Here is a 14,745-nt window from a genome sequence, read left to right as displayed (position 1 = left end):
ATTCTGATTCAATAGACATGGTCAGGAGCCTGAAAATCTGTAACTTAAAAAATGCCACCCAAAATTCTGATGCACAGTCAAGTTTGGGAACCATGGACTCCATCTGGATTAAGTAGACAGTGCAAAGCACATGTTGCTCTCAGCAACCTCACAATCTAATGTGTTTGCCATCATGAGTATGAATGGTTTTATTAGAATGAAGAGAAACTGAAGGTTATTGGAATATTTCAAGTAAAACAAATAAAGCCTAAACTAAGATAGTAATGGAAGGAAGAGAGAGGAGAGCAGACATTTGAAATGTATTTTAGGGTTAGATTGGCCAGCCCTTCATGACTGACTAGTACTGAGTAAGGTGAATACATATAACTTAATGTAGTCATTTGCTAGGGCTGCCATAACAAATACCACAGACAGGGCGACTTAAACAACAGAAACTAATTTTCCCCCAGTTTTGGAAGCTAGAAGTCCAAGAGTAAGGTGTCAGCAGGATTGTTTCTTCTGAGGCCTCTCTCCTTGGCTTGTAGATGGCGATCATCTCCCATGTGTTCACATGTTGTTCCTTTGTGTGTGTCCGTGTCCTAATCTTCCCTTCCTATAAGGCCACCAGTCATATGGCATTGGGGCCACCCCGATGACCTCATTCAATCTTAGTGTACTCTTTAAAGACCTTGTCTCCAAATACAGTCACACTCTGAGGTACTAGGTGTTAGGACAGCAACACATGAATTTGAGACGACACAATTCAGCCCATACCACTTAACTAGAAAATAAATTTAAATCGACCAACCAGGTACCTAACATAGAGTAAAATGCTCAATAATTATTATGTTCTACCCCTAAATGTCAGTCCCTTTCATTGCTTTTGAGGTCATGTGAACGCTCAAGAAGAAAGTAATTGGAAAATAATATTATATCCAGGAAGGGCTTCCTAATGGAATCCCTCTAGATACAGAACCTTAATTGTCAAAATACTGGTGGTCCTAACCTTACCATAAGAAGTAACTGTGGGCAATCCTTTTTCCTTCGACTTGCCTCTGGAATAAAACAGAGGAAGGTGGTACACTCTAGTCAAGGCAAGGCTTCAAATTAACTCACCCAGAAACTCTTCCCAATTCCCTTCTATTTGGTGGAAAAGGTATTAAAGGTATTATTAATTCATTGTCTTCTATGATTATCAGCATGTAGGAAACCATCTCAGAATTTAATTTTCTTTATGTAAGTGTAGTTATCAGGACCATTTTGGCTGCAAGTTACAGAAACTCAACTCAAATAAGTTTCAGCACAGGCAATTTACTGGTTCATGGATCCCTAGGAAGTTTAATAACTGGAATTAAGGCTCAGAATCAGCCTTGCTTGGGATACATCAATTGATATATTCTCCCTTTGCCTAAAAGTCTGTTCCACAATTCCAGTTTAAAAAATTATAGGGACAGACTACAATTAGCTCAGCTTTGGCCCACTGCCCACTATAAGCACCATCAGGGGCTTGGGATCAAGTGAGAACACAACTCCTTTCTAAAAAAATTTCAAAACAGAAATATAAAGTTGAAAGTCCTGGAGATTTGGGCAAAAATGTGCTACACAAATAAAACATATTCTAATAATTTATAATATGTATCATTTTTAGTATTGTGCTAAATGGTTTCTGTCTATAAAAATATTAAAGTTTGAAAACAAAAATATTAAAGTTTATAGCTATGTAATAGCTATAAACATATGTTTTACTATCTTTAATACAATATTTACTTGTTTGTTTAAGCTAAACAAAAAAGGACTCATTCTTATTTCTACTCTTTTTTTGGGATGGAGTCTCGCTCTGTCTCCTGGGCTAGAATGCAGTAGCGCAGTCTCGGCTCACTGCAACCTCTGCCTCCCGGGTTCAAGTGATTCTCCTGCCTCAGCCTCTCGAGTAGCTGGGATTACAGGTGCCTGCCACCACATCCAGCTAATTTTTGTATTTTTAGGAGAGACAAGGTTTCACCATGTTGGCCAGGCTGGTCTCGAACTCCTGACCTCAGGTGATCTACCCGCCTCGGCCTCCCACAGTGCTGGGATTACAGGTGTGAGCCGTGGTGCCCAGCCTGTACATTTTTTTTTCACCAAAGCTTGTATAGCTTGGTACATAAATGTCATAATTAGAATCCATGTCAGTAACTAGGTTTAGTTTACAGGTTAAACTTTTCTGTATTATTAATTTCTAACTTTATCACAAAGAAGTGCTTACATGTTATTAACAATGAAATTAAACACTAAAGGATAATTTTTTTTTTTTTTTTTTTGAGATAGAGTCTGGCTCTGTAGCCCAGGCTGGAGTGCAGTGGCACGATCTCGGCTCACTGCAACTTCCGCTTCCCGGGTTCAAGCGATTCTCCTGCCTCAGCCTCTCAAGTAGCTGGGATTACAGGTGCCCGCCACTATGCCCAGCTAATGTTTGTATTTTTAGTAGAGACGGGGTTTCGCCATGCTGGCCAAGCTGGTCTCAAACTCCTGACCACAGGTGATCTGCCTGTCTCCCCCTCCCAAAGTGCTGGGATTACAGGCATAAGCCACCGCACCCAGCCAAGGATAAAATGTTTTAAAATATAGTTTTACATGCAAAAGAGATTGAGAATAAAAAAGCAAAAGGGCAAAAAAAGGATGAAAGAATTCCAAAGTTTGAAGTCTTTTATGAGTCTGATTCTGCATTTAATCTTTTTTCATCTAATTCTTGCTCACTTACCCTCCCTTTTTTTTCCAGTGTGTTTGTGATTTCTAACTGTGGGCGTATACTCCTGGAATTTTATCTGTGAGAATTCTTAGAGGGATAGGATAAGGTTGCACTCTCATAGGGGGATTTTCTTTTGATTCAAAAGGCACAAATGAGGACCAGTGTAACTAGATTCTTATCTTGGACTCTTTAGACCATTAAGAGTGTGTGAATTCTTGCTGAAAACACAGTAAGGTTGGTTTATGATCATGAATTTTCAAGAGAGATTTTTTTTCCTCTTTAGTTATACATTGAAGTAAGACTTGCAATTTTCCTTGCACTCCTCTATGCGATGCATTTATTTGTAGATAAGGTTAATGATAAGGATATATCTATTTTGCATGCCAGCACTAAGCCCTGGGCTTTGTGACTTTCCCCCTATGCTAGCAGGGACATGAAAACTGAAATTCAGATTCACCCCATTCAGTAAATGTCTTTAAGGTGAAAGAGGATGCTCAGCAATTCTTTGTGAGAAAAATTATATTATCCTCTAAATCAATGTAGGGAAAACATTTGATAAAATTCAATATTTATTAAAGATAAAAACTCAAAGCAAACTACAAATAAAAGAAGAATCCCTTAACTTGATAAAGGAGATCTACAAAAAACCAACAACTTAATGGTGAACTGTTCAAACTACTTTCTTTTAAAAATCAGGAAAACACAAAGTTTTCCATAATCATCATCTCTATACAATACTGGACTAGAGGTCTAGTTACTAGAGTATGTAAGAAAAAAATGAAAGTATAAAGGCTAGAATGAAATAAATTGTTAATACAGGAAATCCAAGAGAAAATACACGTAAGTTTTGAGAATTAATAAGAAAGTTTAGGTTTCCCAAATAGAAATAAAAATATAAAAATTAATTGTACTTCTATGTATGGAAACAAATTCTTTTTAAAAATAAATAACTACACATATATAATTTAAAAATATTTTGTAAAAAAGGTATTTAAGAGTAAATCTAACAAATTTATGGGGGAATAAATCCTTTTTGAAAAACATTATTGGCCGGGCGCTGTGGCTCACGCCTGTAATCCCAGCACTTTTGGGAGGCCGAGGCGGGTGGATCACCTGAGGTCAGGAGTTTGAGACCAGCCTGACCAACATGGAGAAACCCCATCTCTACCAAAAATACAAAATTAGCTGGGCGTGATGGTGCATGCCTGTAATCCCAGCTACTCGGGAGCCTGAGGCAGGAGAATGGCTTGAACCCAGGAGGTGGAGGTTGCAGTGAGCCAAGATCGCGCCATTGGACTCCAGCCTGGGCAACAAGAGCAAAACTCTGTCTTAAAAGGAAAAGAAAAACATTGAAAAAAGGCAGCCAGGCGTGGTGGCTCACGCCTGTAATCCCAGCACTTTGAGAGGCCAAGGCGGGCGAATTACAGGGCTAGGAGTTCAAGACCATCCTGGCCAATATGCTGAAGCCCCATCTCTATGAAAAATACAAAAATTAGCCAGGTAGGGTGGCAGGTGCCTGTACTCCCAGCTACTTGGGAGGCTGAGGCAGGAGAATCGCTTAAACCCGGGAGGCAGAGGTTGCAGTGAGCAGAAATTCTGCCACTGTACTCCAGCCTGGGCTATAGAGTGAGACTCGGTCTCAAAAAAAAAAAAAAAAAAAAAAAAAAAGCTGGGTGCAGTGGCTCATGCCTGTAATCCCAGCACTTTGGGAGGCTGAGGCAGGTGGACCACCTGAGGTCAGGAGTTCAAGACCAGCCTGGCCAACATGGTGTGAAACCCCGCCTCTACTAAAAATATGAAAAATTAGCTTGCTGCCTGTAATCCCAGCTACTTGGGAGGCTGAGGCAGGAGAATCACTTGAACCTGAGGGGTGGAGGTTGCAGTGAGCTAAGATCGTGCCATTGCACTCCAGCCTGGATGACAGAGCAAGACTCCATCTCAAAAAAAGAAAAAAAAAAGAAAAGGAAAATAAAAACATTACTGAAAATCTAAATAAATGGAAGAGTTGACCATATGCTTGTATTGAAACACTAAAAGTGGTAAGAAAGATGTAATTTCCCTTCAGATTGATCTGTACATACTAACAAATTTCAATCAAGTTTTGTGAGTGTAGAAAGAAGCAGTGACAAGCTTCTTCCAAGATTTGTATAGAAGAGAAAAAGGCCATGATAGCCAAGGTATTGCTGAAGAAGAGCAAGAGAGAACTTATTAGATATTTTAAATTATTATATAATTATAATAATTTAGGCAGTATAATATTGGTAAAGGGATAGACAAATTGACCAGTAGAATAAAACAAGGAGCCACAAATTAGGTTATATATTTGGAAACTTGATTCATAAAAAGTCTAGCTTTGAAGATTAGTAGGGAAATATAAACTATTCAACACATGACACTAACACTATAGTTTCTTGTTTTTAAAATGTATTACTACTCACAGCATACACAAAAACCAACGTCAAATAGGTTAAATACTTAAATGTAGAAATGCAAAATGCTAAAACACAGATAAGGGAATGCTTTCTTGAGTGGGAAATGCAGGATACAAGCAAAAAAGAAAAGTTTATGAAGTTTAGCTGCTTTAAGATTAAGAACTCTGTTCATAAAAGGGCACCTTAAAGAAATGAAAAAACAATGCACAAATTAGAAAGAGACATTTGTTACAAAAATAAAAAACAGTAGATTAGTACAGATATTATCTACAAATCAGTTAGTAGAAGATAATTCAATTTTTTTTTTGAGATGGAGTCTCACTCTGTCGCCCAGACTGCAGTGCAGTGCCGCGATCTCTACTCAGCAACCTCCGCCTCCTGGGTTCAAGTAATTCTCCTGCTTCAGCCTCCCAAGTAGTTGGGATTACAGGTGCACACCAGTGCGCCCGGCTAATTTTTGTATTTTTTTTTAGTAGAGACGGGGTTTCACCGTGTTGGCCAGGCTAGTCTCAAACTCCTGACCTCAAGTGATCTGCCTGCCTCGACCTCCCAAAATGCTGGGATTACAGGCATGAGCTACATCGCCTGGCCTAATTTTTAAAATTGGTTAAAAAGAAGGCTGGGTGCTATGGCTCACACCTGTAATACCAGCACTTTGAGAGGCTAAGGCAGGAGGATTGCTTGAGCTAGGGAGTTTGAGACCAGCCTGAACAACATAGTGAGACCCTGTCTACATAAAAAATTTAAAAATTAGCTGGGCATGTGGTATGCACCTGTAATCCCAGCCAGTTGGGAGGCTGAGGCCAGAGGATTGCTTGAGCCCTGGAAATTGAGGCTGAAGTGAGCTGTGATTGTACCACTGCACTCCAGCCTGGGCAATACAGTGAACCTTCTCTCAAAAAAAAAAAAAGAGGTACTTCATAGAACAGGAAATGCTGATTGTCAGCAAAATGAGAAAAGGTGCTCAATCTCATTGGTAATCAAATATTGAAAATTAAAACTTTGAGGAGTATTTATTTCACATTGACAAATTTATAAAAACTCTGGCTAGCTAGGTGCAGTAGCTCACACCTATAACCTCAGCAGATGATAGCTGGGAGTACCGCTTGAGGCCAGGAGTTCAAGACCAGCCCTGGCAACATAGTGAGACCCCTGTCTACACAAAAAATTTTAAGAATTAACTGGTTGTGGTGGTACGAGTCTGTAGTCGTAGTTACTCAGGAAGCTGAGGTAGGAGGATCACTTGAGCCCAGGAGTTCAAGTTTGTAGTGAGCCAAGATGGCACCACTGCACTCCAGCCTGGGCAACAAAGTGAGGTCTTGTCTCTAAAAATAATAAAAATAAATACATTTAAGTATCTTACAATATTAAGTGCTAGCTAGGATATAGAGAAATCATAATATTTATCTTTATACTCCTAGTAGGAGTGTAACATTGTTACTGTGTACAATAGTTGTGAATTATCTAATAAATTTGAAATTTTTCATACTCCATGACCCAGCAATTTCTTTTTTTTTTTTCTTTTTTTTTTTTTTGAGACAGGATCTCACTTCCTCCAGGCTAAAGTTAAGTGGTATGATCACAGCTCACTGCAGCCTCCATTGTCCCTCTCACCTCAGCCTCCCGGGTAGCTGGGACTACAGGCACTTGCCACCATGCCTGGCATATTTTTGTATTTTTCATAGAGATGGGGTTTCACCATGTTGCCCAGGCTGATCTCGAACTCCTGGATTTAAGTGATCCTCCTGCCTCGACCTCCCAAAGTGCTAAGATTACAAGTGTGAGCCACCATGTCCAGCCGCAATTTCATTTTTAAGTAGGCATCTAGAGACTGATCTTTTAACCTCATCCTATTAACATTTTAGGCCAGATAATTCTTTGTTTGTGGGGCTATCCTGTGCCTTATAGGATGTTTATCATTAACTGGGGACATTTAGTAGCACTTTCTAGTTACGACAAGTAAAAATGTTTGCAGATATTGCCAAGTATTCTCTAGGGAGCAAAATCATCCCAGGTTAAGAACCACTGCCCTGTATAAATTTTTGCACATATCTACTTATAAATTTGCAAGACTGGTCATAGAAGCACTGTGTGTAATAATAATAATAAAAACAAAAAAACAAAAAACTGAAGGCAACCCAAATATGCATTAATGTTAAAGGAAGACTAATAAATCTTACAATAGAATACTATACAAGTGTAAACTAATGAATTATAGCCATGTGCTTCAAAGTGTTGAAACTCAAGATCTTAATGTTGAGTAGAAGAGTCATAGATAAATACAACTTTCTATTTACATATTGTTGCAAAACATAAACAACAATTATATATTTCAGGATGAAATATATGAGGTAAAATTATAAAGAAAAGCAAGGGATAGAGAAAATTCAGGATAATGTTTAGCTCGGATTAAAGAAGGGTTAAAGAACCGTAGAAGGGTACACTGAAAGCTTGAAAGGGCATTATAATGTGTTTTTCTTAAACTGGTTGGTGGTACATGGGTATTCACGATCTGCATTTCTTTTTCTTTTTTTTTTTTTTTCCTTTTTTTTTTTTTTTGAGACGGAGTTTTGCTCTTGTTGCCCAGGCTGGAGTGCAATGGTGCAATCTCCGCTCACCACAATCTCCGCCTCCTGGGTTCAAGTGATTCTCGTGCCTCAGCCTCCTGAGTAGCTGGGATTACAGGCATGTGCCACCATGCCCGGCTGATTTTGTATTTTTAGTAGAAACAGGGTTTCTTTATGTTGGTCAGGCTGGTCTTGAACTTCCGACCTCAGGTGATCTGCCCGCTTCGGCCTCCCAAAGTGCTGGGATTACAGGCATGAGCAACCATGCCCAGCCCTGTATTTCTTACATATGTATTAGAAATTTTATTTTTTTAGCTACTAAATATTTTTTAGAATTGTAAAGGAAGTAGTTTAACCTTCTAAACTATGTAATACAATTCAATAACACATCAAAAATATCTATTTACTTTTAAAATATTTTGATTTGTATATTTGAAGATATAAAATGGCAATAAATCATTTCAGAAGCCAACTTACGATATTGTTTAGGAAAGTTGGGAGAATAAAACAAAATGGGCTAACCACTCATCAAGAAAGATATTCTGTCTTCAAAGGCAATGGCTACTAACAGATAACATATTCAACTAACTGCTTTAAAAGCAAGACCATTAAAAATTAAATAAATAAATAAAAACAGGATAATGTAGTGGCAGTAATCAGCACTCAGAGTGAACTCCCTCTTGTAAAAAAGCTCATCAATTGTTTTTTTGCTGATTAAAATGAATATTATTCCTGTGAAATGAACCAAAAAGTTGTATGAAACCGGAAATCCCAAAAGAGAACTATAATCTACAAGAATAATTGCATGCAATTTTAATTGAAGGAAAAGGAGAGGACTGTTTTTATCTTTGCTTTTTTCACATCTTAAAAGTAATCAACCTGTTGGCCAATTAACAATTCTTTTATATTATTATTGTCTGACCTAAAAATTGACACTTGATAAATTGGAAACTTGTGAAATTTTAAGATTAATGACAAAATGACTATTGGCTATAGCTGACTATAATGTGGAGCTTTTGTCCTTAATGAAATAAGGTAATAAATCATTATTAACATTTTCAGAAATAAAGTATGTTTTACTGTTGTTCATTGACGTGTATATATCATGACTATTAACATAAATATGCATTCAACCTTTATTCATTAAGTACAACCAGAATTGGAAATGAGAGGATATATTTTGTTGAAGGGCAGATTAACTACATTAAAATATTTATTTTATTTTCTCATCAATATCTTAGAAAAAATTGGAATGCTGAAGATTTATTCTGTTTTGAAGTTCAGCTTTAATAATACATATCAATAAAATATATATTTGCATTTCAATTTAGTTTACATAGTATTCAGAACTTTGTCTGTTTGGTTAAATTAGCACACTTACAAATCAGAAAGAAATAGTTTGAATGAGCAGTATTTTATTTATTCAATAATTTGTTACATTGCCCCTGATTTTGGTTATAGACAAGAGGTTAATTTTGTTCATTTTTCTTCTAAAATGTCATGATATGTTGGACTAAAGAGTTTACCGAGTACATGCAAAAAAGGAAATTATATATTTAAACATTTGATTTCCCAGTATAACAAATTAGTAATTTGGCAGTCTAAACCTATTAGAAATATAAATTTCCATATACAAATCTGTGTGAATTTGGCTCCCCGCTCTTTAGGAAAGATTGATACTAGATTTTATCTTATAGGTCATTTACAATGTTATCTCATTCAGAGTAAAGTGAAAAAATTAAGGTTAAATTTTTTGGTACATTTAAAAATAGTAATATAGAAGGAATATTATCAAAATACACAATATATAATCCCTTATTTACACAATACAATTTGGAAAAGACTTTCAACGAAATATGGATGAGACTTTCACTTATGTGAATTTTACAAATGAATGAAATTTACCCCTTTAATCATTACAGTCTTTTTCATTCTAATGACTCCAAGTCTCTCAATGTTATTTTATGCTATGTATATTCAATTTAAGGATATGTAATTTTATTGTAAAATTCTTGGTCTAGAAAGAAATTTAAAATTTTATTTTAAAAATCTTATAGTATAACCCTCTACTTTAACCACTCAGGAATTTTAAACCTATGTATATGATGTATCTTACTGAAAATCATACAGCTAATCTTGGTCCCTCAATTCTTACTGTTGGTGAATAGCTGAAAATACTCTTTAACTCCTCAATGCATTCCTCCTAGTCTCTCCTAGGTTTTATAGTAATCCTTCTAGTTTATAGCTACATAATTAGAGAAACAATTCTGTTATAATTTTATGTAAACTGAGAACTAATATGATGGAAAGAAAAACTTGGGAAGCATTTATGTGAACAGTATTAGATGCATGCTAGAGACTTTTTTCCTAAATTTCTTCTAAAATTTTTGGCTTAGTTCTAGAGAGCTAAAGTGTCAAGACAGTAAGATATAACTAAAATTTATACATTTATGCTAAGTTCTGCCCTATAATAAATTGCTCTTGAGCAGAATTTTTAATATCAAAAATATTCTAATAGTGCCATTTATTATTAATAATAAACGATTTATTAACATTATTTTAGGTTAAAAGCAATTTTTTGATAAAATTTCTTTATATTTGCCTAGTTATCTACTTTTTTTTTTTTTTTTTTTGACAGAGTCTCGCTCTGTCACCCAAGCTGGAGTGCAGTGGTGCAATCTCAGCTCACTGCAATCTCCACCTCTTGGGTTCACGTGATTCTTCTGCCTCAGCCTCCTAAGTAGCTGGGACTACAGGCGTGTGCCACCAAGCCTGGCTAATTTTTGTTTCTTTGTGTTTTGTTTTGTTGTTGTTTTTTTGATACAGAGTCTCACTGTCGCCCAGGTTGGAGTGCAGTGGCACGATCCTGGCTCACTGCAACATCCGCCTCCTGGGTTCAAGCGATCCCCCTGCCTCAGCCTCTGGAGTAGCTGGGATTACAGGCGTGCACCACCACGCCCAGCTAATTTTGTATATTTAGTAGAGACGGGGTTTCACCATGTTAGCCAGGCTGATCTCGAACTCCTGACCTCAGGTAATCCGCCCGCCTCCGTCTCCCACAGGCGTAAGCCACTGCGCCTAGCCCCTATTTTTTATATTTTTAGTAGAGAAAGGGTTTCACCATATTGGCCAGGCTGGTCTCGAACTCCTGAACTTGTGATCTGCTCACCTCAGCCTCCCAAAGTGCTGGGATTACAGGCGTGAGCCACCACACCTGGCCCTTTTTTTTTTTTTGAGACTGAATCTTGCTCTGTCACCGAGACCGGAGTGCAATGGTGCAGTCTTGGCTCACTGCAACCTCCGCCTCCTGGGTTCAAACGATTGTCTTGCCTCAGCCTCCCAAGTAGCTGGGATTATAGGGACTCACCACCATACCCAGCTAGCTAATTTTTATATTTTTAGTAGAGATGGGGTTTCACCATGTTGACCAGGCTGGTTACAAACTCCTGACCTTAGGTGATTCTCCTGCCTCAGCCTCTCAAAGTGTTGGGATTACAGGCGTGTGCTACCATGCCCAGCTGAAGATTTTTTTTTTAATTGGTTATCCAGTTGGCACAAAGAAGTATTTCCCAATTTTATATGTACGTATTTATCTAATAATAAATATGCTCTTTTGAATAGCTTATTATTCAAATAATGTTTTTGTTCTGGTTATAAAAACAATATCTATTTATTATAGGAAATGCAAAAAATGAAGAATTAAGACAAACTACTTATATTCCCATTCTTTTGTGTACCTTTTGTGTCTTTTTTCCTTTTTTTTTTTTTTTTTTTTTAGACGGAGTCTGGCTCTGTCACCCAGACTGGAGTGCAGTGGCACTCGGCCCACTGCAAGCTCCACCTCCTGGGTTCACGCCATTCTCCTGCCTCAGCCTCCTGAGCAGCTGGGACTACAGGGGCTCACCACCACACCTAGCTAATTTTTTGTATTTTTAGTAGAGACGGGGTTTCACCGTGTTAGCCAGGATGGTCTTGATCTCCTGACCTCGTGATCTGCCTGCCTCGGCCTCTCAAAGTGCTGGGATTACAGGCATGAGCCACCGCGCCTGGCCTTTTGTGTCTTTTTTCTAAGCCCAAGATATACTGCCAAGTCTCTCTCCTCTGTCTATATAAGCGCACATGCACACAACATGTAATGTATGTAGTTCTGTACCCTGCTTTTTCACTTAACCTAACACTTTGATGTCAAAGTGACTTTTTTTTCTACAATGAGAAATTCCTTCTTTTTATAGGGAATACTCTTAAACCACTGGAAAAATAAAAGAGCATCATAGGAGACAGTAATAACTTCCTAGGAAATATCATTTTACACTGACCTTTCCCATATAATAAGATTAATTTTTAGTATTTGAATTGTAAAGAGGTTATGATAAAGACTAAAACTAAATATTTCCTGTTTAAGTCATAAAAATATAAAGACAATGAAACTATATGTTTAACCAAAATCATATAGTGGCTAGCTTGCCTAGAAGTTATGATATATACTTTTAGAAAATAAATATTTTAAAATTCACAGATGCTGCAAAGCCCCGGTCAAACATAAATTACAATCAGTTTTTATGTAACAGTAACAATTCCAAAGGACTCTTACCAACTCTCAATTTGTATCACAGATAATGCTTTCTTTTTCTGCTCGTGGAATATAAACCACATTTATTTCTATATCTGTGTATTTTAAAATAAATTACCCCAGAAAACAAAATGTTGGATATACTATGTTCAACTGCAATCCAACAGAGAAAGCAAAACCTTGTATTTCCTGTAAAAATCCTGTAGTATATTTGGTGAACATTTTGGAATAATTATAGAATTTGAATACAGCATCCATTTATTTGCAAAAGTATAAACTACATTATAATTATCAGATGACTCAATACATTTAGTAGATGATACTCCAATTTTATTATAATAATTCACCTTTTCTTGTTCGTGTTCAGTACTATCAAATACAGAAAGAACTCCTTACTTACCATTCTGGGAAAGATGAAATTTTTCATTGTGCCATAAATACCCTGGAAAGTAAAGAAAATATTATTATTTATTATACCTCCATCCACAGGGATCCTAACTGCCAAATGTAATACACCAGCAGCAAAACAAAAATAAAGTAAATCTAAGCAGAAAACACAAATCAGTGTTCTAAGAATTCTTGAACATATATTATATGACTATGAACAGAGCTACCATAAGATTAAGCACTTGTTTTGATAAGTACTTTCAAATACAGGAATAAACTATTTTGTTTTCCACAAAAGAAATATTGTAGAATTAGGAGAACATTGTCAATAAATTTTTTTTTCACTCAGCCCTTTAGCTCATTTGAAGTTTTTATTGAGAGAGATGAGACAGGTTTACCTAAAACTCTTTAAGGGAAAATATGGTTTTCTCACATCCTGATAATTAATGCTATTAATATTGATCAGTTTTTTAAAGTATAATAAACCTAATTTGGAGAAAAATACGCTGAGATCATATCTCTCTGTTAAAACTATATAATGGCTAAGGAAATTTTAATAGATATATATGAAGGAGATTTGCTTGAATTTTCTCAATAGTGATATTTCAGACCTTTAGAAATTTTTTCTAGTGAAGTAATTTTGAATAAACATTATGATGTGTTAAGATATCTTTGGAATCATTATTCCCAAGAAAGATATTGTTTCTGTAAATGAAAACTAGCTAAAATTTCAAACTATAAATCCTAATGTTCCCAAATTAAAAAGTTGGTTTTTGTTGTTTTTGTTGTTGAAGAATAAAACTGGGATTTGAAGGATGTCCTACTTAGATTTTCACATAGAAAATACCTTCTTTTTTAGACAATTTTTCTCTTAAAAATTTGAATACTAAATATGGAAGTCAAATTTTGTAATGATTCAGGAATTCTCCCTATGACAATAGTTTAAGGAAATTATTAGTTTGTATTTAATTGTAAATAATAATAATTCCTTTCAAAATGTTATATGTATTGATTTTTAATGCAAGCTCTTAATGTAAAAAAAATTTAAACACAGAAATACTTTATTTTACATGGAATTTATTTCTAAAGATTATCAATACAATTTTGATATTATAACTCATCAATCTGCTAAAAAAAAAAAAAAGTATTTTTAAGCACCAGCTCCTGAAGAGGGCAGCACGTTCTAGATATTATTGAATTCTAAGCTCAAATGTGGCAGCTTTGGCTTTAGTATACTTTTTTTAAGAACTAAAGGGGAAAACATTGATATTTTTTATAGATGTCTATCCCCATGATATAATAAACCAGCAGAAAGTTTAGGCAGACCAAGGTCAAAACTATATTTGATTATTAAAAGAGAACATTCAAATTAGACACCAAAAGCAATGTATTTAGAAAAGAAACAAAATACAGTAAGGAGACATTCCATGAGGAATGTGTTTTATCTTAATACTGTAGATAACTTTTTCTATTGGCAGTGCGTTGACTATCAAAACTACTAAAGGGGTTAGATTTAATTATCTCACTTCTTGCACATTTCATCTCAATTGCTATGGCAACATTCAGTTGCCTCAGCAGCTATGCACACTTTAATCAGATATTTCCTTTTCATTTCTCTATGAGCCAAACTGTGTAGTCAAATTTACAACCAAGTCCTGATGAATCTGATAACACCTCTAACAATTTAATGGGCAACTTGCCTCCACCCACACATATAAATGTTTTCAGAGAGGCTTATAACTATTGGCCAAGTATGAGACTTGATAAGAATATATGTTTGGACTTTCCTACTTCATTGATTTAAAAAAGAATTTTTTTTGCTCTTTTCTCTACCATTTCTTTTTTTAGAAGTTTTTCACCAATTTGAAACTCACTCCAGCCAGTCCCTACCTTGGGTCCCCTATCCTCACTAAGAGAGTGCATGAGTAAAGGAAACAACCTCCAGTGTTCAAATGTCAATTCTCATCAACAAGTCTATTGAATTATTTACCTTTTATCTGAACATACTTGGAACTGGCACATCAAAGAGCCATTTTCTATTTCTTGAATACAGGTCAGAGAAGGAAGGAAAATAAAGATAAA

The 14,745-nt window shown here is 36.0% G+C and overlaps 1 protein-coding gene across 11 annotated transcripts in view; it reads right to left on the bottom strand.

Moving 5' to 3' along the window:
- ADGRL2 (adhesion G protein-coupled receptor L2) overlaps window positions 1-14,745 on the bottom strand; it is a 687,801-nt gene that overhangs the window by 219,404 nt on the left and 453,652 nt on the right. For all 11 annotated transcript variants that reach the window (XM_047416152.1, XM_047416118.1, XM_047416159.1 and 8 more), the window contains one exon: window positions 12,677-12,718. The gene's annotated coding sequence lies outside the window, so the exon portion shown is untranslated. The remainder of the gene's footprint in view (window positions 1-12,676; window positions 12,719-14,745) is intronic.

This window comes from Homo sapiens, chromosome 1 (assembly GCF_000001405.40).
Source record: "Homo sapiens chromosome 1, GRCh38.p14 Primary Assembly".
NCBI classification, from domain to species: Eukaryota; Metazoa; Chordata; class Mammalia; order Primates; family Hominidae; genus Homo; species Homo sapiens.
Note: the sequence above shows the minus strand (reverse complement) of the source record. Positions and strands in the feature narration are given on the sequence as shown.